The following is a 25,760-nucleotide window of genomic DNA, read 5'->3' as shown; positions in this document are numbered from 1 at the left end:
CCACAGTTCTTTCTTCAACTTCTCACTAGTTGGTAGCAATCTCTTTGTACTGAAAATATTTCCCTTTCCAATAAGCTAGTCCTCCTACCCTAAATCAATACCATTTAATCTATAACTCTGCTGATGTTTTAAACTTTGAATAATTTATAGATCTGATAGTAAATGGATTAGGTTATACCAAATAACCATTCTTTTAAGAAATAAGTTATATATGATCTTTTCAAGTTTACAGAACTCAAACTAAACCCTATAATAAATGTGAACTTATGAACCAATTATAGTAAAAAAAATAATGATTTCTTATAGTTTTCAGTCTGTATTTTGTTCTAGTAGTCCATGTGGGTTCAGGAATAAACGCTCAAAGATAGAAGATATAAATAAGTGGTAACATTTTACATTTTCACAGGGTTTCACCCTTTCATCTGTGTTCTATGAAGAGAACTGTCTAATATCTTGGCATTTATTCTAATGGAAAAAAAACTCATTTGTGATATCGTAATATATCAAAAGGCAGAATTTTAAAGCCTTGAGTGACAGCAATTTGAAAAAGAAACATTTACTTTTTAAATCTCATTGGAAAAAAACGATTGATTTCTATAACCCAAGACTTTGAAAAAATCTATCTCATAGTTTGAAAAGAGTGGGAGGACTATTTTTGAAAAGAATATTATGTTTGATTTAGGATTGAAATGTGTTATACTTAACATGTATTTTCGTGGTAATTCTTTTATAATGAACTTATGGTATGTGATCTAAATCAGGCTGAACAGATTATTTTCTGGAATATTTGCTGAAGTTGTCAAAAGAAAAGCTAGTGTTTTGGTGTTGTTAGATGGTATTATACCAGCCTGGAATTGGCAGAGGCTATCTCTACACTATGAGATTGCTGTCTGAAAATAAAAAGAACCTATAAGAAAACAGAGATTTGAAATGGAAGACAGAGATCTTGTTTCAGCATGCTTCATCACTCCTAGGGATTCCATTTATAAAAGTCAAAAATACTCCTTATTGCTTAAGCAAAACCTAGCAGATGATTAAGTTTTATCTGTCACCATGGAAAAGAGAAGGACTGAGAAAAATAAACAGAACAAATAAGCATATAGAAAAGGAATATAATTGAAGAAATAGACACAAATTTAAAAATTACAATTTTTTGAAGTTATTGGGGAAGTTACTGTTAACACCATAAGACTAATAAGAGAAGATGAGATTATGCAAAAGAATCAGTATGAGAAAAAATAAATAAATATTATTGCCAAAGTTAAAAATTTACTAAAAAGCCAAACAATACAATAAATGGATAAAGAATAAATCAGTACTAAATCAGTACCGTGAAAATTTAAATCAAATACATTTCTAGAATATAGAGGCAAAACACAAAGAGATGAAAATGGTTAATGTCAAGTTTGAAAGACATAAAGTATGTATTTAGGAACTCCAACATCAAGTCCCCAGAAAATTGTTAGAAGGGAAGAATGAAAGGAAGAAATTTAAAAGTGAGAAAGAAACACTAGAGAATATTTTATTTTCAAGCTGAAGAAAGACTCAAGTCTTCAGATGGAAAGAGAATATCAGAAACAAAATTGGAACATATTATAGAACAAAAGCCTTACATAAAGATACCTTCCATTAAAGTTAAGAATAAAACAATAAAGGTAATAAGCTAAGGACAAGAAGAAAATTTTAAAGTCTTCTAAAAGGAATAGTATATGATCCCTTAAAAAAACAATAAAATTGACATTAGACTTCTCATCACAAACAGGAAGTCAGACCAAAACATTTTACATTTTAGAGTAAAAATACTTTGAATTTATAAGTCTATACATAAAAATTATAATTTGAATGAACAGGCCAATAAAGTTATTTTTTAGACATATAAGAAATCTCTATTATAACCACCTTTTTAAAACATGATTTTAGGCCAGTCATGGTGGCTCACATCTGTAATCCCAGCACTTTGGGAGGCTGAGGTGGGCAGATCACCTGAGGTCAGGAGTTCAAGACCAGCCTGACCAACATGGTGAAACCCTGTCTCTACTAAAAATACAAAAATTAGCCAGGCATGATGACGGGCGCCTATAATCCCAGCTACTTGGGAGGCTGAGGCAGCAGAATCACTTGAACCCAGGAGGCAGAGGTTGCAGGGAGCTGAGATCACACCACTGCCAGCCTGGATGACAGAGCAAGACTCCATCTCAAAAACAAACAAACAAACAAACATGTTTCTAGAGCCCCCAGTCAATGTAATAAGGACAGGCAAATACTGGTGAGTGGTGTCTTAGCTTAGATTTCCAAAGAAGCAGACCTTGAGGCAAAAATTTGTGTGCTACTATTTTTTCAGAAATACAGTAGGTTGGCTGTAAAAAAACTTTAGCAACCTCGGATTTTGCTATCCTTGAAGGTCCTAGAACAAATCACCAGTGTATGTGAGAGACAGCAGGAGTGAGCCAGGAAACAAGAAAGACAAAACAAACAATATAAGGTTGCATTACTGAGTTGGCCACTATTTGGAGTCAAGCACAACTAGTTGCTCTGTCTCACAGTGCTGTCTTCAAAAAGTCTAGTCTTGGAGAAAAAAATGGAGTTAAGATTCATCCATTAATGCCTATGCTCTATTGGTTTCTCATCGAGAGTTAATACTACCAAACTTTTGGTTTTCAAATGCTTGAAAATGTACAGTATCTTATACCTTATTATCAAGAGGGAAGCCATGAAGTTTGAGGCAAGGAGTGAACAGTGGGGGACATTATGCAAGACTGGGGACAGGTGAACCACAGAGGACCTAAAGTGGCACATAGGACAAGTCTAATACAATTGGTATAAACATTGGAAAAGAAGAGATACAACTACCTTGTTTGCAGAATGTGCGATTGCCTGGTTAGAAATGTAAGGCACTCCAGAATTTGATAAGTGGTTACCTCTGAGAAGATAGCAACTGGGGGGACTGAAGGAGGATTTTTATATTTTGTTCTAAATATATGAGTTTCTTTCCTATAATGAAAAATCTCACTGTACAATTATCATTAAATGTGAAAAAATTTTAATATATATTTTAAAAGTAAGAAAAGGTACATCTTCACAACCTTCCCTGATCATTTCACTAGAAAATGGATTGTCTCTCAAAAGGACTTAGCTTAAACTGTATTACCATCTAGCTGTTACCTGATCTTCTATATGAGAAAGAAAACATACAGATGATCACTTAGCAATCAGAATAGCATTGGAATACTTCTTAAGCATTTGCTTTATTCCCTCACTGTGATTTATAAGTATTTTCACAAATATTGTTTGAATGAATGGAACATAATAAGAGAACACATTTCCTCAATTTGTTACCACAGCCACAGAAAATAATTTAGTACAAAGAACCTCACATAAAAATTGCATTTCTAGATTTACTAACTTAAAGGTCACAGAAAATTCAAGGTTTTGGCACTAAAACCAGTTAGTAAATGTTATAGATGACATTTTTTAAATAATCCAAAATTATTTATAGTTTATGTTTATTTTGGAAAGCAACAAAAACTAGCAATAATTTTGTAAATTTGTCTCACATGTAACCTGACTTTAGATATACTAATTGCAATTGCAACTGTTACCATAGAATTATTGTAGAAGTGTAAACCAGCCATCTACATTTGATATTTATTTGCTTAACATATATATTGTTAATATGAAGTTCTTTTTACAAAATAAATGTCAACCACTTCTTCAATAATTGTTGTTTAAACAAAGGGGATTCAAAATACCATAGAAGAGGAACAATCAAATGCATTCAAGATTTCACAGTCTAATACTGGGTTCTTTTAACCAATGGTCTCCAGACTGGAGTATGTGAACCAAAATGGATACACAAGATGATACAGCAGAATGCAAAATAAAATAGTAAAACTTGTATATGTGCTTATTTCAACCTCTCCCTTTTTAATAATCATTTTTTCTCATTTTTTAGCTTTATGATTTTACATTTTTACGCTATCATATTAGGCATTGGCCTAACATTCTCAATATACATCTTTAAATTATTACAATATATTTTAAACTAGAAATTTTCTACTTCCTATAAAATGTCTTATACGCAAACACACACACAAACAAGCAGGAAGTTTTAAAAATATAATATTATTTTCCATTTGCCCACATCTGTAAACTTTATAATACCCTTTACTTTTTTTTCACCTATAGTTTCATACTTCAGACTTAGGATCTTTTTTCCTTTATCCTTTTTTTATTTCTTAATGTGAAATTGCTGGTAAGAGAATTTCTTGTTGTTGGAAAACATTTTAACTATGCCTTCATTGTTTTATAAATATATTTTTGCTGGTTATAGAATTTTGAGTTGATATTTACTTTTTCTTTCAGTATTTTACATGTTATTCCACTGTCTTCTGGCTTCCATAGTTTCTGTTGAAAATCATCCATAAGTCTTCAGTATTAGCTATGATATTTAATTAGCTTAAAAGTCATCATTTCTATGCTCACAATGAGAAAAAAGCTGAACAAACTGAAAATCAACAGCTATTCTTAGAGCTTTCAGAGAACTGGGATGACAGGACAACCCCGAACCCTGAAAATTATAGAGACAAACAAACAAATAGAATATCAGAGCTGAGTTCAGCTTACTAGAAGAATAAGGTGCTGGAGCTAATAACTTAAAAGAATGCTGAAATGATAGTTAACAAATTGCCGGGGGCTGAGCATGACTAGTTTGAGGGTTAAAATTCCTGGCAGGACAATTTTTGGAAGGTTCCTCACATTTTTATGAGTTTTACCTCCAGAAGTCGCAACTGATTCTCCTGATAAAGAACAGAGAACAGACTCTCTGTGCTTCTGGAAGGGAGAAGGAAAAGTAACCACTTTGGAAAACACACAAGGAAAAAGTAAACACTTTTAAATATGCCTGGAACATTCAATTCTCCATATCAGAGGCCTACCCTGAAGGCAAACTACTTTACCAGAGCCTTATCTGACCTAGAAGGTCAATGAAACAACTCCAGTCCATGCTATTCTTCCTGTTTCAAATAAAGAGAGGGAAAAACAAAGACTAAGAAACTCTTCGGAAAGTCACATCCCAGGGATTCAGGCCTACTAAAAAAAATCTGAGATTTAAATAAAACACGCACTGTAGAAAAGCTTCGCCTCCCCTATGCCTACCACCACATCAACAGAGCCCAGTGTAATAGTGAATTATAACAGAGAGGTAAAAGATATACTTTCTACAGAAATCCAGTAATAGTAGACTTATAACAGAGAGAGGTGAAAAATACAGTTTCTATGTAAACTCAAACACAACAAGGAAGACAAAGGAATTAAGTCTAGAGGAAACTTCTGACAACTACATCAAACGTTAAGCACAGCCTAACTCCTAGCTAGATAAACATAAACTTCACACCAAAGTCCTATTTAGTGTGGACTTAGTTCTTATTACCTGATACATTATGTATAGCTTTCAAGAAAAAAAAATGCAAGGCATGCTAAAACATAGTCTGGAGAGGCAAAGCAAGTTTCAGAACAAGACATAGGTATGGATTGCAGAGATTTTGGAATTCTCGGGCTTGGAATCAAAAATAACTATGATTAATATACTAAAAGCTCTAAAGAAAAATCACACGCAATAGGCAAGAACAGATTGGTAACATAAGCAGAGAGATAGAAACACTAAGGGAGAATTAAAATGCTAGAAATAAACACTGTGAACAGAAATGAAGAATGCTTTTGATGCCCTGATCAGAACACTGAACAAAGCCAACCAAACACAAAAAGGAACAATAGCAGCAAAAAAGTAATAGAAGATCCAAAAACTTCAGGATGATTACGAGAGATGTAACATTCACATACCAGAAGGAAAACCAGAAGGAGACAGGAGAAAGAGGAACACAAAAATGTGAAGAAATAATGGCTCCAAATTTTCCAAACTTAATCACACACCAAATCACAGATTAGCATAGTTCAGAGAACACTAAACAAGATAAACACTAAAAGGTCTACATCTAGGCTTATCATATTCAAGTTTCAAAAGGCCAACGACAAACAGAAAATATTGAAAGAAGCCAGAAGAGAAAATAATTGCTTACCTATCTAGGCACAGAATAAAAATTACATCAAATTTCTCTTCAGAAACCACCAGCAAGAAGAGAGTGGAATCAATTATTTAAAGTGATGAAAGAAAAAGAAACGGTAGTCTAGGTGAATTTGGGTTTTAATTAGGTCTTCATCTAAGTTTTGATTGAGTCCCTAGCTAATCTCTGCTTCCTTGGCTGTGAAACATTGTAGGAGACTCATTTCCCCCATTAACAGGTTTTGAGATTAGCTTTTTAGCCTTTCAGGCCATGGAGGTTCAAAATCCAACATGTATCTTGAGGCAGAGATAAGCAAGCAGTTCCTCCAGGAGGATGTTTCAAAATACAGAATATTTCACTGTCTTTTAAAGATGCCTCCAACTCAGTCTCCAGTCTCCCATACCACTCCACAAGCCTGCAAATATGTCAGAGTGAATGCCGGCCATATATTTGGGATTCCTCAAGCGTCAATCTAAATTTAAAACTATGCAACTGTTAAAAGCTCTGCTGGCTTCTCTTTCCTACAGCAAAGTTCCCCTATCTAAACCAAACTATTCTCACCTCACACCAGTATTTTCTAAATGCCACCAGGAAAGAAAACAGCTGGAGGTCTAGAGATTGTAGCTCTCCTAGGAAAGTCTCTTTCATTTCTGGAATTCTATTTCACCTAGTCTTCACTCACATAGAGTACTCTGATATTCTCAAAATTCTGATTTTAGAAATTATCTATTATTTTCATCTGCTGTGGCAGATGCGTTGGCCTACCACAACGTGTTACATCTGTCCCAGAAGCCACCTTTTTCATTTTAAGTGATATTTTAAAATATATTTTACAATGTAGTTCGAACCCTAAAGTAGAAGTACAAGTTTATTCTTTATTGCCAAAATTAATACACTATACTGGGGGAACATACTTTAAAAATTGTTTTACAGATATGGGTATAATAGTGTTTGGTCATCACAATTCATGAAAATTATACTCTTAGACTTCTCCAAAGGCCACCCATATTTGATTTCTTAGCATGTTCACAAATCGACTTCAGATGAATTCAAGTCCTTCAATGGTATTTGCTGAGAAATATTTATACATATGAGGAAACTAATTTTTATAGAAAATATATACACACAGACATTTGCAACTGTCCTTAAAGATAAAGCAATATTCTTCATTGGTGGAATTCTTTGGAAGAATGATGAACTAAAGGAGCATTTTTAAATAAATTTCAACTTTTATTTTAGATACAGGGAGTACAAGTGCAAGTTTGTTATATGGGGATATTGCTTGATGTGGAGGTTTGGGGTATGAATCCCATCACCCAGGTAGTGAGCATAATACTGAATAGGTAGCTTTTCCACTCACACACATTTCTACCTCCCCACTGTATGAGTCCACAGTGTCTACTGTTCCCATGTTTATGTCCATGTGGTTAGGAGCACTTTTTTAAACAGATAAGAACCATATACTTTTTGCAGAGAATCATTTTACTTATTTAAACATGTACCTATATATTAAATTAGTTTTCTTCTTGAATTATTGATATTCATATTAAAGGCCTAATAAAAGAAAGATATTGTATATTTTACCATACAATTTAAACCAATTATGATGAGTTTTATCTTCCATACACGAACCTAAACTACTAGTGGTTCTATTTCCTGCTGCATCTTCTTCTACATATCTTCCAGATGTTCCCATCAGTAAGATTTTTTTGGATATTCAGTCCTTTATGGTAGTTTTATATTTCTCAAACTTTAGTATTTTTTTTATCTCTTGTCTTATTTTACTTTCTTGGAACTATTCTGCCAAGCTTTCTGTGCTGTCTGAAAAGCATTCAGCTATCTGAACATCTGGAAATAAAACCTTGCAATTAACAGTCACATTTTCATCACTGGAAGTCTGTTAGTTTGTGAACATCTTGCTCTTGCTTTTCTACTAGGTATGTTGAGAAACTGCACCATCTGGGTCTAATGAAACAAAAATTAAACTGAGCATCAGAATACTCATGACATGGTTGCCCAAAGCATCTCTGTACCTTATTTCGTCTAGGCATTTGTTTTACCTTTTCTGGGCTGAGTGCTTTTTTTACTCCATGATGCTGAATTGCCATTGACACAAAATGAGAGTATACCAATGTCCTCTCAACAATGATTTAAAATTTAAATGTTCTGATGGAGCTAGAGTTCTTAAGACAAGTTCTGAATATTAATAACACAACACATTCATTTTGTGCATCCAGTCTTGTTTTGACTTGAATTAAATAAAATAACTTAGGAATCTTATACTTTCTCTTGGCTGTCACACACAGAAAAGAATCTACTTTAATTTATGAGGCTATAAGCTACTGTATCTCAAATTCTGGCTCCCTTAGAACAGAAATATGAAACTACCTAGTGTTGTATTGTTATGTTACTTTGTCCTGAAGCCTTGCAGGAACAAAATATAGATAACATTTTATTTAATTATTGTAAATTATTAATTAGAAATGTGCTAAAATATTGGACTGGTTTTCAGGTGAATCATTAAAATGTAAACTAAGTTTTGTACTTAGAACTTTAGGTCAGTAAATGAAGCTGGAAATAGTTAAATCCACAGGTTTTCTAATTCAACTAAGTGGATTTCTAATAATTTTGAATAATCCTTTTGGGTGGGGATTTGATGGAAACAACGGCATGAGAAATGTGGGTAATGTAAATAAGTAGGGTTCTTAGACGCTTTCACATCCTCATCAGAGAAGTTTGATTTTCATCTGGTTTACATGATAATATTCTTCATACACTTGAATAAACTTTTCCATGACTTAAAAAAGAAAAAAACAATGTAATTGATGCTATCAGTGCTTTACTCTAGATTTTTTTTTTTTTTTTAAACAAAAGGAGGTCTAGAGGTCTTTTTCAGAAGCTAATTCATGAGAGAATTAGGATGCTTCGCCTACCTTTAAGTTTTACGGTCTTTGAAATGGACCAATTAGAGAAATGAAAAAAATACAAGAAAAGAATATTAAGAAATTCAAGAAAGCACCAAATTTATAACATCATTCAAATTAATAAAGACTTTGTAGAGGTTTTTGTAAATGTATCATTTCTGAAGAAAAGATGGGTTGAGGACTATTGATAATTGTAGCTTCAGTTTTTACACAGACACATACACATAAGGGATCTTCCCAAAAGTTCATAAACAATGCGTATTATTTTAGAAACAAGCATGAATTTCAAGGTTTTCGCATTTAAAAAATGGTACTAACTTGTTATAACATGTCTGAACAGGATCCGAGTTTGAGTCACTAAAAAGGATAAGATATCAGTTTGAAAAGAGACCAGAGCAACTTGAATTCTGCTAAAATTGAAGCAAGAACAAATATCAAATTTATGGTGAAGCTTAGGTGGAAGAACGGTAAAATCGTTGGTGCTTTATGAAAAGTTTTTTGGGACAATGCCCCAAAGAAAGCAGCAGTTTACAAATGGGTAACTCATTTTACGAAGGGACAAGAGGATCTGGAGGATAAAGCCTGCAGTGGCGGATCATCCACATCAGTTCGTGAGGAAAAAAATTAATCTTGTTCATGACTTAACTTGAGAGGACAGATTAACAGCACAGATAAAACAGATAAAATGATTAACACAGATAAACACAGCACAAATAAAATGATTAACAGCACAGATAAAAACCAGCACTATACTCATCTCAATTGGTTCAGCTTCACAATTCCGACTGAAGAATTAAAGTTGAGCAAACGTTCCACTGAATGCATGCCACAATCATTGCACCCAGATCAGCTGCAGACAAGAGCAGAGCTTTCAATGGAAATTTTAAACAAGTAGAATTGGCCAGGTGCAGTGGCTTAAGCCTGTAATCCCAGCACTTTGAGAGGCCGAGGCAGGAGGATTGCCTGAGCTCAGGAGTTCGCCACCAGCCTGGGCAACACAGTGAAACTCTACTAAAATAGAAAAAAATATCCACGTCTAGCTGCATGCACCTGTAGTCCCAGCTACTCAGGAGGCTGAGGCAGGAGAACTCCAGGAGCCAAGGGTTGCAGTGAGCCAAGATCGCACCACTGTACTCCAGCTTGGGCAACAGAGCGAGACTCCATCTAAAAAAAAAAGTGAAATCATGATTCTGAAGCATTTCTCTGAAGAATTGTAACAGGAAATGAAACATGACCTTTCCAGTACAATTCTGAAGACAAAGCACAACCAACGACTAGCAAGGGCAAGAGGTAGAAGTGGTCCAGTCAAAGCAAAAGCAGACCAACCAAGAGCAACAATCACGGCAACAGTTGTTTGGGATGCTGAAGGCATTTTGCTTGTTGACTTTCTAGAGGGCCAAAGAACAGTAACATCTGCCTATCATTAGAGTGTTTTGAGAAAATTAGCCAAAGCTTTAGCAGAAAACACCTGGGGAAACTTCACCAGAGAGTCTTTCTCTACCACGATGATGCTCCTGCTCATTCCCCTCGTGAAACATTAATAATTTTGCAACAGTTTTGATGGGAAATCATTAGGCATTCACCTTACAGTCCTGATTTGGTTTCTTCTGACTTCCTTTTGTTTCCCAATCATAAAACATCTTTAAAAGGCATCCATTTTTTTTCAATTAATAATGTAAAAAAGGCTGTATTGACATAGTTAAATTTCCAGGACCCTCAGTATTTTTAGGAATGGACTACATGGCTGGTATCATTACTTTACAAAAGCTTGACTTGTAATTACTTACAAGTCTTGACCTTGATGGAGTTCATGTTGAGAAATAAAGTTTATAATTTTTATTTTTATCTTAATTCCGTTTTTCTTTTTTTTTCTTTCTTTTTTTTTTTTTTGAGACAGAGCCTCATGCCGCCTAGGCTGGAGTGCAGTGGCACGATCTTGACTCACTGCAACCTCCACCTCCCGGGTTCAAGCGACCTGCCTCAGCCTCCCAAGTAGCTGGGACAACAGGCGTGTGACCCCACGCCTGGCTGATTTTTTTGTATTTTTAGTAGATACGGGGTTTCACCATGTTCGCCAGGATCGTCTTGATCTCCTGACCTCAGGTGATCTGCCCGCCTTGGCCTCCCAAAGTGCTGGAATTACAGGCATGAGCCACCATGCCCAGCCCAATTCCATTTTTCTGCAAACTTTTTGAAGTCCCCTCGTGTTTGTGTATATACATATGTGTATTATCTGTCTGTGTATATATATATAAATGAGGCATTATATTTATAAATATCTATATATTCATAGATTATATAGTTTTAGGGAAGCATATTAGGAAATGCATATATATAATATGCATTAGGAAAGCTATATATATGAATATACATAGCTAATGTATATTATGTGTATATATATAATGCATATTATATATATGCATACATATATATAGATGGCTGGATAATTAGATATGCATTAGGAAAGCTGGTAGAAATTTAGAGCACTTTTTACTTGACACTTCTCTTTTACTCAAAACTATTCTGAAAATCCTATCCCCAATCTGCTCAATAAGAATCTCACCAAAAAAAATTTCAAATACATGTTATAGTCAATATTAATAATCCAGCATGTTATTAACTATTCTAACTAGGGACAAAAGTCTCAAAACTATGAAGGCAGCTGAACAGTCAAGTTCTTCAGTGGAACTGTACAAAAGGCAATAATAATTACTGTAATTGTACCATTGATTTAAAAAAATTTATAAGTGGGAAGAATTCTCAGATTTTTTAATAATTATCACAGCAGTTTTGGTCATTTAAAGAAATGAACTTTTCACCTGTATTTCTTGAAATCTAACCAATTTTTGGTAAATCTATTAGCATCCACTGTCTCAAATGAAACAACAGAGCTCTAAAGTAGAAATCTTTTTTGCATAGGGAGTTGGGCTAGCAAACGACATTTACCCCGATTATTTGTCATTTCAAAAAGCTTACTATTTGAAATGACAGAGTGCTCGTGTTCTCCCAAAATTCGTAAGTTGAAATCCTAATCTCAATGTGATGGCATTTGGAGGTGGGGCCTTTGGGAGTTCATTAAGTCATGAAAGTAGAGCCCTTATGAATGGGATTAGTGCCCTAATAACAAGCAGACAGAGAGGCTGCCATCTGAGCTGCAATGAGAAGTTGGCAGTCTGCAAGTGAAGGAGGGCTCTCTTCAGAACCCAATCATGCTGGTACCCTGATCTTGGAATTCCTGCCTTCAACACTATGAGACATTTCTGCTGTTTAAGCCTGGTGGCTTCATTCTTTATAGTCGCCCAAACTTATTAGTATATTAGTATTGGAAACAAAGAATGTAATCTGGACTCAAATGCGCATTTATTATGGTGAAATAACAGATTTGGGGGTGGTAGTGATTCTATTAGTCATTAACTACTCACTAGTCTGATAGCATTGCATAATCAAATAAATAGTAGGTCGGGCATGGTGGGCTCACACCTGTAATCCCAGCACTTTGGGAAGCCAAGGTGGGTGGATCACCTGAGGTCGAGAGTTCAAAACCAGGCTGGCCAACATGGTGAAATCCCGTCTCTACTAAAAATACAAAAATTAGCCAGGCGTGTGGCGCGTGCCTGTAATCCCAACTACTCGGGAGGCTGAGGCACGAGAATCGTTTGAATCCAGGAGGCAGAGGTTGCAGTGAGCAGAGAGTGTTCCACTTCACTCCAGCCTGGACAACAGAGTGAGACTTTATCTCAAAAAAAAGAAAAAAAGAAAAAAGATAGCAAAAATCCACCTGCAGATTACGTTTGTACTTTTGTAATAGCCTGCTAAAGGTTGGTATGTGTTGAAATAGATAGCTAGACTAGCCATCAATATCAGCACAAACTTTCTTGTTACTTTTATACTAACTTTACAAGTCCTTTGCCTCTCTAATTTTCAGCTATCTGTATTTTATGGTATACACCTGCTAAATCAAGTCTGAGTCCTCTTCAGGTCAATTCTCCTCCATAGGCATAATTATCTGAGGAGTTTTTTATTTACTCTGCTAATGCATTTTACATCACATCAACATTAGGCTATTTTTTAAATGTTTTAACTGTGATGAAAAAGCTGTAATAAAGAGAGTAAAAATAAAGTAAACAATTATTTGTATATAAGATATTATAACAGATGGGACATACAGCAGGAAATCTTCTATGATCATATGCCAGCTCCTTTTTTTTTAATCTTCATCATCACAATTAATGGCCACACAATGTTCATTCAGATTACTATGAATCTGTGTTCTTCAGATTTCATTTGATAAATATTCTCAGTAAGTTGTTTCCTTCCATGGGTCTTTGTTAATAGACATATCTTGAGAAACAAAGAATCAAAATACATGGCCATATTAATATTGTTTCATGTAGTCATAGTCAGAGCTTTTATCAGTTTATCCATTTTGAGGACATAGCCCACTCCTTCATGTGTGTTTGTTAGTGTGCCTGTTAGCCAGCTCAGTTTAGTCCTTCTCTTCCTTTAGAAGAGGAAGAGATTCCAGCAGAGTGCTTGCTCCAGGACATCTGAGTTGAAGCTAAATGAGCTAGTATTCTTTTGCTCCAAGCCTCTCACAAGGAGAGACAGAATTATATTAGTGTTTCCTTTTTTTAACCTCCATTAATTAACTATCTTTCCCTCATTTACAATCTCACTTTTCTTCCTTCTATCATTAATTTTTATCTAAAGCTTTTCCACTGAGATGGGTCTCTCTGGTCCAGCCAATGGTCTGGTCCATATTGCTGATAACAAGATGACACATACTAAGGCTTCCTCTTTTATTCTATTCCCAGTCATAGTGAGTTAGATGGGAAAAGTACAAAGAAATAGAATCATTACACAAAATATTTGCCACAAGGTTGTCAGGCCAAACTTGGCAGTCTGGAGAAGAAATAATTTATCCCATCAATCGCTTTGGGATTCTTTCAGTTATATTCAGATTAATAGACATAATTTCTTTTTTGGGATATTACCAGCCTCTGGGACAGTAACTCTAACCTAGGAATAATTGGGTATAGCACTGAAAAGAAATTGTTTACATACAAGGGAAGATTTGAATGTAGTAAGCTCCTGCATCATCTCTTCTCCCGTCTTTTCCAATTTTATTTCAAATGCACAATAATTTATCTAACAGAGACCCATAATAATCCTCTTGGTAAAATAAAATTAATAAAGATAAAGCTGGAAGTTGTAGGGCAGCCCTTCAATCCTTTGTTACCTGCATCTTTTTAAATAGGTGTTTTAATTGCACATGTCAGTTTTTATTAACCCACCACTTCGGGAATATATTTTAAAAGTCTATTGAATGTGATATTTCTGTTTCTTTACCCATCATTTCTCTAGAAGTTAATAACTTAATCTGATGAAATGTAATTAAGAGGACCAAAATGATAGAGTATTTCTTTTTTTTTTTTTTTTGGTCACGGTTCTTTGATAACATAAGCAGCTTTGGCTTCAGTTAGTGAGTATGGGAATCCAAACCCAGAATGTGTATCAAGTTCTGTCAATATCCTTTTAAGTACCCTCCCCTGGAGCAATAGGTTAAAAGCCAATGTAATCTACTTGCCAACTATACGCTGGCAAGGGTGAACTGCAGATTTTGCCTTTTCCATTGGCATACAGAAAAAATTATATTGGTAGAGGCCACCAGGGTGTGTTGTAATTTGGCACATCATTGCATGGTTTGAATTTGTCTGTGTTCACCCATGTCTTGGACCGAGGTTACCACTTCAAGAAATCCAAGTAGAACATCAACTTCTTGAGTTCAGTCATCTCAGATCCTGACACAGGGTTGCTGTGTTGAGCATCAGTGTGCCTTTGATTTTTTTTCTCAGAATTTCCACAGAGATTTACAAAGAGCAGTACACCAGGTGGAGGCCCCTCTGTGGTCCATCTGATCCATTTTCCAGAACAAATTGAAAGCCAAAAAGTCAATATAGTCATTATAAAAAGCCAAAGAGTAGAGCCTTTTTTTTTTTTTAAGTTCTTCTATCATTGCGAAGAACACAGCCTGTAATACAGGCTCTGTACTTTTCCATGAGTATTTTACTGTTTGCTGAATGCAGAACAGCTGATTTATTTTGCTGTAGAGACAGGGTCTTGCTATGTTGACAAGGCTAGTATCAAACTCCTGGCCTCAAGCAATCCTCTTACCTCAGCCTACCAAAGTGCTGGGTTTACAGGTGTGAGCCATTGCACCCAGCCCTGATTTTCATGCCAGGTCTTGGCATTTGCTTTTGGAACTGTCTTTTGTGAACCAGGGCAATTGCCTTACATTCTAAGACAATTGCTCAAAAATATGCCCGTTCAACAATAGTACCATGCAAATCCTTAAGCAGCCTTACAGTAGGTCATAGGAAGAAAAAGGCTACTTGCTTACTAATGTAAGAAGTCTTTCCTGTAAATTATCTGGTAGGATGCTCTTACATATGCCCTTTTTATTCCATCTTATGTGGAAACTTCTTTCGGCATCTCCCTCTTTTTTTGCAATGCTTTACTGGGGCTTTAATATGGCCTTAAACAATTTACTTATTCGGGCTGTCTGTGTAGGTGCCCAATAATAAGCCAGTAACTATCTTTTAAAAGGAGTATACCAGAGAGGAGCATCTGGTCATTTTATAATTCAAAAGACAAGAGATAACTGTTCAGTAGCAGTGGTTATGGGGTTTTATGAAAGACTCCAGTTGGCTAAATATGAGTGGCCAACACTTCTAGTATCATTTCAACATTAGGACCATGTTATCCAAAAGAATAACTAGCATTACAGCCCTCAATTAAACATGGCCTTCTTTAAAAGATTTTAAGGATCAGATCTAACAGTATTCCAAATGACGGATGTGATTTCTGTAAAAGTCAAGAAAGGCCAATAGACATTGTTCAGGTTAAGAAACAGGCAGTAAAAATCATTCATTTTTAGTGGTCTGCAATAAGTCATAGGTTGCTCAAGTCCATGCAATGCTCAAAAGATTCACTGTCTATGTGGGGCTCTGAATTTTTGTGAGGTTAATCAACCATTCCTGATTATCATGCAATTTATGACTATAGTAAATTTGATTTTGGCTTGATTCTTAGGTTCTAAAATAATTATAATATCATCAATAGAAAACTGCCAGTTCTACTAGATCTACAACCCATGTTATCATATCACAACATTATAGGAGAGAATTCAAGGGTTTTTAATCATACATTACAAATGCTATCCAGACTGTTTTTACCCTACTACAATAGCATCCTCACATCCCTGTAAATTGATTTTGTTAGCCCTAAAAGACTCATGAGCAGGACTAGGCAGCACTATACACTGTGCTTCTTTATCTAATAGACCTCAAATAGTTTCCATTCCACCCCAGGCCATTTCAACCACACAATGTATTACTGGAGATTGGATCTAAAGGCACTGACCTTCATGTCAATTTTATTCTTATATTACAAAATAAATGTTAAAAGAGAGTATTTTGGCATCTAATACTGGAAGCTCATTAGAACTTTTCCTTGCTTGTATTTTATCTAGGTGCAAATAAGATGAGCATATCTTTCTCGATATTTTTAACATCAGGGGGTATTTGAGGAGAGATGGTTATGAGTCCCACAATTTCCTATGAAATTCCACCAAGCTTCAGGTGATCACACTATCAGTTTCCTCCTTTTGCATACCAATTTTAATCAGCCATCCCAGGACTTCCCTTCGATGTAATTAGACTCTGAATAGTTGCCTCTTTTATTATCTTGAAGTTTCATATGAGGAAGTGGAAGGAACAAAAAGTTATTGCCTGCCTCCCATGAGGGAGCTTGTTTCCATGGAGGTGAAGGGTTACAATCAGGAAGTATCCCACTACATCACATGCCAGGAAAGGAAGGCCTCTTTGTCCCTCTAGACCTGAGACTTTCTTCTCACATTGAGCAACACCAGGCAGCCCAGTCTGGCTAAACCCCTCTCACTTCCATCCCTTCAAGCAGTATGAACAGGGAGCAGTGGGAGCCTCGGTAGTCCCAGATAAACCAAAGGCCAAAATAAAAACCATAAAGACCCAAAAAAAGTATAAAATTAAACTGTTATTAGAACAGCAGCCCACAAAAGTAGGCTAAGATGTGCACGCTAAAGCTTAACAGCGTGACTGACTGCTAAAATAAAAGATTCAAATAGGAGCCAGAATCTCCTAACACAATAGATAACAGTTCCAGAATACAATAAAAACATCACCCATCATACTAAGAATTAGGAAAATAAAAATTTGAATGAAAAAAGACTATCAACTAATGCCAACACTGAGATAAAGCAGCTGTTGGAATTATCTGACATAAAACTTTAACACAGTCATCAAAAAACACTTCAACATCAATTATAGATTTTTCTTGAAATAAATAAAAACAGAAAACTCAGAAAAGAAATAGAACTTATAAAAAGAACCAGTGGAAACAAACAGAAAATATAGAACTGCTGGCTTGGTTCAATGTAAGACTGGAGATGACAGAGGATAAAATAAGTGAACTTGAGGACAATCAATAGAATTTACCAAATCTGAATAAAAGGCAGAAAAATAGACAAAATATATGTGAACAGAGCCTCAGGAGCCTGTGATATATAGCAGTCATATCATTAGAGTCCCATAAGAAGAGAGAAAAAGAATGGGACTGAAATAGTATTTAAAGAAATCATTACTGAAAACTCTCCAAACTTGACAAAAGACACAAACCTTCGATCTAAGGAGTCCTGTGAACCCCAAACAGAATAAACCCAAGCAAATCTACACTAAAGCACAAAATCATTAACTTCTGAAAATAGCCAGAGAGACAGCACATTATCTACAGGGGAATACCAATTCAGATGATTTCTTATCTGTAACCATGAAGGCCAGAGCACGTGGCACAATATTTTTCCAGTGCTGAAAGAAAGAAACTGTTAACTTTCTTCTTCAGGAATTAAGGGGTAATTTGCCAGGAACCTCACATCTCTCCTTTTGGCAACTAATGGTACAACTAGACAGAAAATAAGCAAGGCTACAGATGAACTTACATAGAACACTCTACCCAACAACAGCATAATGTACATTTTTTTAAATGTAACCATGGAAAATTTACCAAGATAAGTCATACCCTGACCAGAAAATAAACCTTAAGAAAATTTAAAGAATTTAAATCATACAGTGTGTTCTCTGACTATAATGAGTCTAGTTAGAAATCAATAACAGAAATACAACAGGAAAATGTCTAAATACATGGAAAGCAAACAACAAACCACCAAAAAGCCCATAAAAAGATGGAAGGAAGAAAATCATAAAGGGCAGAAGTCAATAAAATTTAAAAATTGGAGAACAATAGGGACAATCAATTAAACAAAAGCTGTTTCTTCCAAAAAAATTAACAAAATTGACAAACCTCTGCAAAACTGACAAGAATAAAACAAACACAAATCATCAATATCAGGAATTAAATAGGGGATATCATCACAGATTCTATAGCCATTGAAAGAATAATGAGGCCGGGCACGGTGGCTCACGCCTGTAATCCCAGCACTTTGGGAGGCTGAGACGGGCGGATCATGAGGTCAAGAGATAGAGACCATCCTGGCTAACATGGTGAAACCCCATCTCTACTAAAATTACAAAAAAATTAGCCGGGCGTGGTGGCAGGCGCCTGTAGTCGCAGCTACTCTGGAGGCTGAGGCAGGAGAATGGAGTGAACCTGCCATTGCACTCCAGCCTGGGCGACGAGCGAGACTCTGTCTCAAAAAAATAATAATAATAATAAAATAATGAGAAAGTATAACAGACAATTTTACATACATAAATTTGATAACGTAATGTAACAAATTCCTCAAAAGCCACAAACTACCTAAACTGACCCAAGGTGAAATAAATGTTATAAATATTCCTATAGCTATTAAAGAAATTTGATTCATATTTTGAAAGGACGCAAAAAGGAAATCTCTAGCTCTAGCTGGTTTTGTTGGTGAATTCAACCAAACATTTAAAGAAGAATTAACATCACTTTTGCAAATTTTACACTACTTATTTCAGAATTAGAAAAAGAAGGGACACTTTCTAATTTATTTTACCAAAACCAAAGGAAGTACAAAAAAAATTACCGGCCAGTATCTCTCAAGAATTTACATGACTCTTTCCCATCTTGCAAGATGGCAGATGAAAAAGCTGATAAACTGGATACTAAAGAGAAGAAACTCAAAGCCAAGAGGGCTGATGGTGACAGGGTGAAAAAGGGTGACATGACCTCAAAGCTAAAAAGCCCACGAAAGGGAAGCTTCATTGCAGCTGAAATCCTGTCCTTGTCTGAGGAACTGGCAGATGTTCCCAATCTGCTACATATTGCAGAAGGGCCATGCACAAGAGGAAGTACTTAGCCGCTAAATCCAAAGTTGAAAAAAAAAAAAAAAAATGAAGGAAAGGTGTGTGGTGACAAGCAGGGTGGTGCCCAGATAGTTAAACTTCGCAAAATCCCTAGATATTATTCTACTGGAGATGTGCCTCGAAAGCTGTTGAGCCACAGCCAAAAACCCTTCAGTCAGCACTTGAGAAAACTACGAGCCACAGTCACCCCCGGGGCCATTCTGATCATTCTCACTGAGTGCTACAGAGGCAAGAGGGTGGTTTTCCTGAAGCAGGTGGCTAGTGGCTTGTTAGTTGTGACTGGATCTCTGGCCCTCAATTGAGTTCCTCTACAAAGAACACACCAGAAATTTGTCATTGCCATCTCAACCAAAATTAATATCAGTAATGTAAAAATCCCAAAACATCTTACTGACATTTCAAGAAGAAGCGGCTATGGAAGCCCACACACCAGGAAGGTGAGATCTTCAACACAGAAAAAACAAATACAAGATTACAGGGCAGCACAAGATTGATCAGAAAACTGTGGACTCACTAATTTTCCCCAAAATCAAAGCTATTCCTCAGCTCCAGGACCACCTGCATCTGTGTTTGCACTGACAAATGGAATTTATCCTCACAAATTGGTGTTCTAAATTTCTTAAGAACCAAATTACATAATTGATAACAACAAAGAATTTACATGAAAAACCATCAACAAAAATATTAGTAAACCCAATTTAACAATATGCATAAAAAGAACTTTCCTGCATTACCAAATAACATTAATTCCAAGTATGTTAAGACTGATTAAACATTTGAATATCATTCAGTGTAATCCACTGAATGAAGAAACACCTGAGGCTGGGTAATTTATAAAGGAAAAAGGTTTAACTGACTCACAGTCCCGCAGGGTTGGGGAGGCCTCAGGAAACCTACAGTCAGTCATGGCAGAAGGGGAAGCAAACACATCCTTCTTCACACCGCAGCGGGAAAGAGAGGAGTGCCTCTTATAAAACGACCAGATCTCGTGAGAACTCACTCACTATCACAAGAACAGCATGGGGGTAATTGTCCCTATGATTCAATTACCTCACCCTGGTTCCTTCCCACAACACCTGGAGATAATGGAAACTACAATTTAAGATGATACTTAGGTGGAGACACAGTCAAACCATATCACAATCATGTCAATAAGCTAAAAAAAAACATATGAGCATTTTAAGTGGCCCACAAAAATAACAAAATCCAAAATTGATTCATGATTTATAAAAAAAGGAACGTTCAGCAAATGAGAGATAGAGAAGTACCACAGTTTGCTGAAGAGCAACTGTAAAAACCCTACAGTCAACATTTTACTTAATGGTTGAAGACTATAATACACTTTCTCTTTAAGATCAGGAAGAAGACAAGAATATCTACTCTCATTACTCTTATTGAACATATTACTGGAAACTTTAATTACTGCGATAGTGCAAGATAAAGAAATAAAAGGGATACAGCTTATAAAGTAAGAAACTGCTCCTAAAGTTGAACAATGTGGTACAATAAAAGATCAAGTCACAAAAATGAATCATGTATTTATACACTAATGATGAACATTCTGAAACGGAAATTAAAAACACAGTATCATTTATGATCACTCCAAAGAAAATGAAATACTTAGGTCTATACTTAACCAAAAATATACAGAATCCACATGCTATAATTTTTTTTTTTAGACGGAGTCTTGCTCTGTTGCCAGGTTGGAGTGCAGTGGCGCGATCTTGGCTCACTACAACCTTCGACTCCCTAGTTCAAGCGGTTCTCCTGCCCTAGCCTCCCGAGTAGCTGGGATTACAGGCACGCATCACAACGCTCAGCTAATTTTTGTATTTAGTGTAGAGACGGAGTTTCACCATGTTGGCTAGGACGGTCTCGATCTCCTGACCTCGTGATCTGCCTGCCTCGGCCCCCCAAAGTGCTGGGATTACAGGCATGAGCCACCGTGCCCGGCCTACATGCTATAAATTTTAAGATATTGACAAAAGAAATGAATGAATATCTAAGTAAATGGAGAAGCATACCTTGCATGAATTGGGTTGGAATTTTCTTCAAATTGGTTTATAGACTTAATGTAATTCCAAAGGACCTACAATAGCTTATGCAATTTTGACAAAGAAGGAAAGAAAGAAAAACAGAAGAAAAGAGAATAATGCAAGAGGAGTCAGTCTACTCAACATTAAGGCTTACTCTATAAACGTAACTATAATTTTATATATTTTTTATATATATATAATTTTATATATACATACATATAAAGATTTTTACAGTCCAGGAGTAGGCAATGAATTATTATTAGACTTGACACCAAAGGCCCAATCCATAAAGAAAAAAATGTATAAATTCAACCTCATTAAAATTAAAAACTTTTGCTCTGCAAAATACTATTAAGAGGATGAAAAAACAAACCAAAGCCTGAAAGAGAATATTTTCAAAACACATATCTGTCAAAAGACTAGTATCTAGACTAGATAAATTACTCCCAAAACTTAACAGTTAAAGAAACAAATAATCCAATTAGAAAATGGGCAAAATACAAAGAGATACATCACCCATGAAGATATAAAAATCCTTCAGTAATAAGCATATGAAAATATGTTCATATCATTAGACATTAGGAAAATATAAACTCAAACCACAATGTAATGTCACTAATCTTTTTTCTATTTTTAAAATGTTTCATCTTAAAAGGTTATATAGGCCGGGTTTGGTGGCTCATGCCTGTAATCCCAGCACTTTGGGAGGCTGGGGCAGGAGGATCATGAGGTCAAGAGATGGAGACTATCCTGGCTAACACGGTAAAACCACATCTCTACAAAAATACAAAAAATTAGCTGGGCATGGTGGTGGGCGCCTGTGGTCCCAGCTACTTGGGAGGCTGAGGCAGGAGAGAGAATTGCTTGAACCCAGGAGACGGAGCTTGCAGTGAGCCGAGATGGCGCCACTGCACTCCAGCCTGGGCAACAGAGCGAGACCCCATCTCAAAAAAAAAAAAAAAAAAAAAGTTATATACATGGTCCAAAGAAAATAATACAAAAATAAATAAATAAAATGTTATATAAATGGAGTAATATAATATGTAATCTTTTAAGATGGAGTTCTTTTTTAAATTCAATAATTCCCTGGAGATGTATCCAAGTTGGTATGTATCAATAGTTCCTTCCTTTTTGTTGCTAAGAAGTATTCAATAGTATGGATGTGCCATAGTTTGTTAAACATGGAAGAGAGATTAGTGGTCCGCAAGGGACAGAGATGGAAAACTTTTGTGGGGAGGGAGGTTGACGTGATTATAAAAGAGCAATAGGAAGAAACCTAGTGGTGATGGAAGTGTTCTTTCTCTTAGCTGTGGTGGATACATGAAACCACTATGTGATAAAATTGTACAGACTGAATACACACACAAACACCTACAGATGAGTATAAGCAAAAACAGGTAAATCTGTGTAAGACAGGTAGATTATATCAGTGCCAATATCTTGAATTTGATATTGTAATAGTGGCTTTGTAAATGTTATTGTTAGGGGGCGGTGGGTGGGGTGGTGGGTCCTTGCTCCCAGAGCTCCCAAGATGGTGGCAGGCCACTTCCAAAATGGCAGCGGGCTGCTTCCAATACGGTGGCAAGCCTTGTGTTCTCTGACCTGGGGTTCTTGGCCTCACGGATTCCAAGGAATGGAATCTTGGGCCATGTGGTGAGTGTTATAGCCCTGTTAGAAGCCGTGGGTCACGGAAGAGAACCGTGGAACCCAGTGACTAGGATTCAGCTTGATGAGGACGAACCTGAGCACTTAGCCGTGCAGGAACAATGGCAAGCCTTTAGCCCCATCGGGAGGGGCAATGGGCCCCTGGCTGGAATAGGAGCGCAGCAGACACCCTGCCAGATCTGGAGGGATGGAAGTCAGAGGCGGGTCTACGATGGCGGCAAACAGCAGTGGTGGGCGGAGTGAAAGCTCAGCTCCAGCCCTAACAAACACAGACCAAAAGAGAATGCAGTTGCAAGATTTAACAGAGTGAAGACAGAGCTCCCATACAAAGGGAGGAGACCCAAAGAGGGTAGCCGTTGCCGGCTCGAATGCCTGGGTTTATATCCCGATCATTGTCCCTCCCGCTGTGCTCTCAGGCAATAGATAATTGGCTATTTCTTTACCTCCTGTTTTTGCCTAATTAGCATTTTATTGAGCTCTCTTTACTATCTGATTGGTCGGGTGTGAGGTAAGTTGCAAGCCCAGTGTTTAAAGGTGGAAGCGGTCATCTTCCCAGCTAGGGTTAAGGATTCTTACTCGGCCTAGGAAATCCAGCAAGTCCTGTCTCTCATTATCATCTCTTTTATAAACACATATGAATCCATAATTGTCTTAATACAATTTTTCATTGAACAATGGACTAAAAATCAGGGAGTTTATTGTTTCTTATGACAGAACTTCCATAGGAATGTGGGCTTCAAAATAGGTTTGATCAAAGTTGGGATTCTGTTTTCTGGGAGTCCCCTGGCTCTATCCTCCTTAACATTTCAGCTTCTACCTCAAGCTAATTGCCCTTGGAGCAGCAAAATGGCTGTAGCAATTCCAGATTTCGTAAGCATATTCCATACTCTCCAGAGCAACTCTGATTTATACAATTGTGGTTAGGGGCATCTCTTGTATGGAAGGACTTAGCCCTGGGTTACTGCCTTTTACTGAACCATTTAATTTGCCAAGGATGGAGAAATTATTCTGATGAGTTTGTGCCAATCAGGTCCCACCTTATAGCTGGTATCAGTGCCAAGTAACCACATCACTATTGTCAAAGAATGCTGCAGGGTGGAGGACAATGCAACTCTTCACTTCACTAGTAAATCCATCTCTGGAAAGATACTTGCAGATAATAGTAAAATGCTACAAAGATTAATCAACAGGTGTTATGATAGATACTGACTGTGGGTAGCTTTTAGAGAGGATGGCCAAAAAAAGCATCTTGGAGAAGGTGATGTTGAAGCTGAGATCCAAATGAGAAGGAACTGGCCTTGTGAAGAGTTTGGGGAAGAACAATCTAGGCAGATCGATTATGGCCTAGTTGCTTATTTCATTGTTCACCTCAAAGTCTGTAACGTTAACAAGGTCAGGGACCATGCCCACTGACTCTCTGCTACACCTACCTGAGTCTTGCAATGATTTGGTACTTAATAAATATTGCTGATTAAAAAATGAAGAGGGGCTGGGCGCCATGGCTCACGCCTGTAATCCCAGCACTTTGGGAGGCTGAGGCGGGTGGATCGCCAGGTCAGGAGTTTGAGACCAGCCTGACCAACATGGTGAAACCCCGTCTCTACTAAAAATACAAAAATTAGCCTGGCATGGTGGCGCATGCCTGTAATCCCAGCTACACAGGAGGCTGAAGCAGGAGAATTGCTTGAACCCGGAGGTGGAGGTTGCAGTGAGTGGAGATCGTGCCACTGCACTCTAGCCTGGGGGATAGAGAGATTCTGTCTCAAAAAAAAAAAGAATGAGGAGGAAGGCAACTCCAGCACAAAAATAGCTTGATGAAATGAAATATTTTGTAATTGTCTCTGAAAGACTGGAAAGGAGAAACCCTGTTTTAGGCCGGCGGGATAGATGAACAAAGGCAAAGGCATAGCACGTTAGGAAACAGTGGGAAATCTAAAGTGAAACAAATGGGCTATCATGCTGGGTAAACAGGAAAGGAACTTAAATAAGTAAGATTGGTTTCAATTACGGAGGGTTTTAAAATCCAGATGTAACTTACCTCTGATGGCTTAGGCACTGGGGAATCGTTAGAAGTTCTTGAGCAATGAAGTAGAATTAAAAAAAAAAAAAGAATTTAAATGAGATTATTCTGGAAGCAAGGAGTAGGCTCATATATAAAATTAACAATTATGCTCTTCAGTGATAAATGTCATGTATATATGAAAACAAATACTGTTGAAAAGACACTAAATAACCAGATTATGTTATAATATTATTGAGTGGTTATTATGTGTTCAATATTATTCTAAATATTTTATATGTACTTATGTAATTCTCATGCAACTCTATGAGGTTAAGTATTATTTTTTTCTATTACAGATGGAAACTGAGGCACAGAGAGCTAAGGAAATTGTCCAAGTTCACCTCAGGTAATAAGATATGGAGCTGAGTGGCACTGTATTCTTTATCAACACTTGATCTTATCATTCCATAATCCTATGGAGATAACAGGATTTTAAAGTTTTTTAAAAAGAGTAGGAATAGACAACATGTGGACTCACCTACAAAATATTTCAAATTTTGGCTCAGCATTTCTAAGGAATAGTTGAAATCTTTTTATCAAATGTCACCTATCAGCTCTTGAACTATATTCACCAGACATTCAATTATCTTTTTAAAAAGGCATGAGAACTTTACTTTTCTGTATATATT

The 25,760-nt window shown here is 36.4% G+C and overlaps 1 pseudogene, besides 2 other annotated features; it reads left to right on the top strand.

Annotated features, from left to right (window-relative positions):
* Window positions 9,059–10,258: an enhancer, noted in NCBI's record as "MED14-independent group 3 enhancer chr7:14119884-14121083 (GRCh37/hg19 assembly coordinates)". NCBI's record gives its function as "activates an origin of replication core promoter dependent on BRD2, BRD4, P300/CBP and CDK7 cofactors, and independent of MED14, by STARR-seq in HCT116 cells {active_cell/tissue: HCT116}" and the evidence as "EXISTENCE:reporter gene assay evidence [ECO:0000049][PMID:35650434]".
* Window positions 19,118–20,016, top strand: RPL6P21 (ribosomal protein L6 pseudogene 21; annotated as a pseudogene).
* Window positions 24,786–25,287: an enhancer, noted in NCBI's record as "NANOG hESC enhancer chr7:14104855-14105356 (GRCh37/hg19 assembly coordinates)". NCBI's record gives its function as "activates a minimal SCP1, AML or CMV promoter by ChIP-STARR-seq in primed H9 embryonic stem cells {active_cell/tissue: H9 hESC(primed)}" and the evidence as "EXISTENCE:reporter gene assay evidence [ECO:0000049][PMID:30033119]".

This window comes from Homo sapiens, chromosome 7 (genome assembly GCF_000001405.40).
Source record: "Homo sapiens chromosome 7, GRCh38.p14 Primary Assembly".
Taxonomy (NCBI): Eukaryota; Metazoa; Chordata; class Mammalia; order Primates; family Hominidae; genus Homo; species Homo sapiens.
This window is presented reverse-complemented; position numbering and strand designations above follow the sequence as displayed.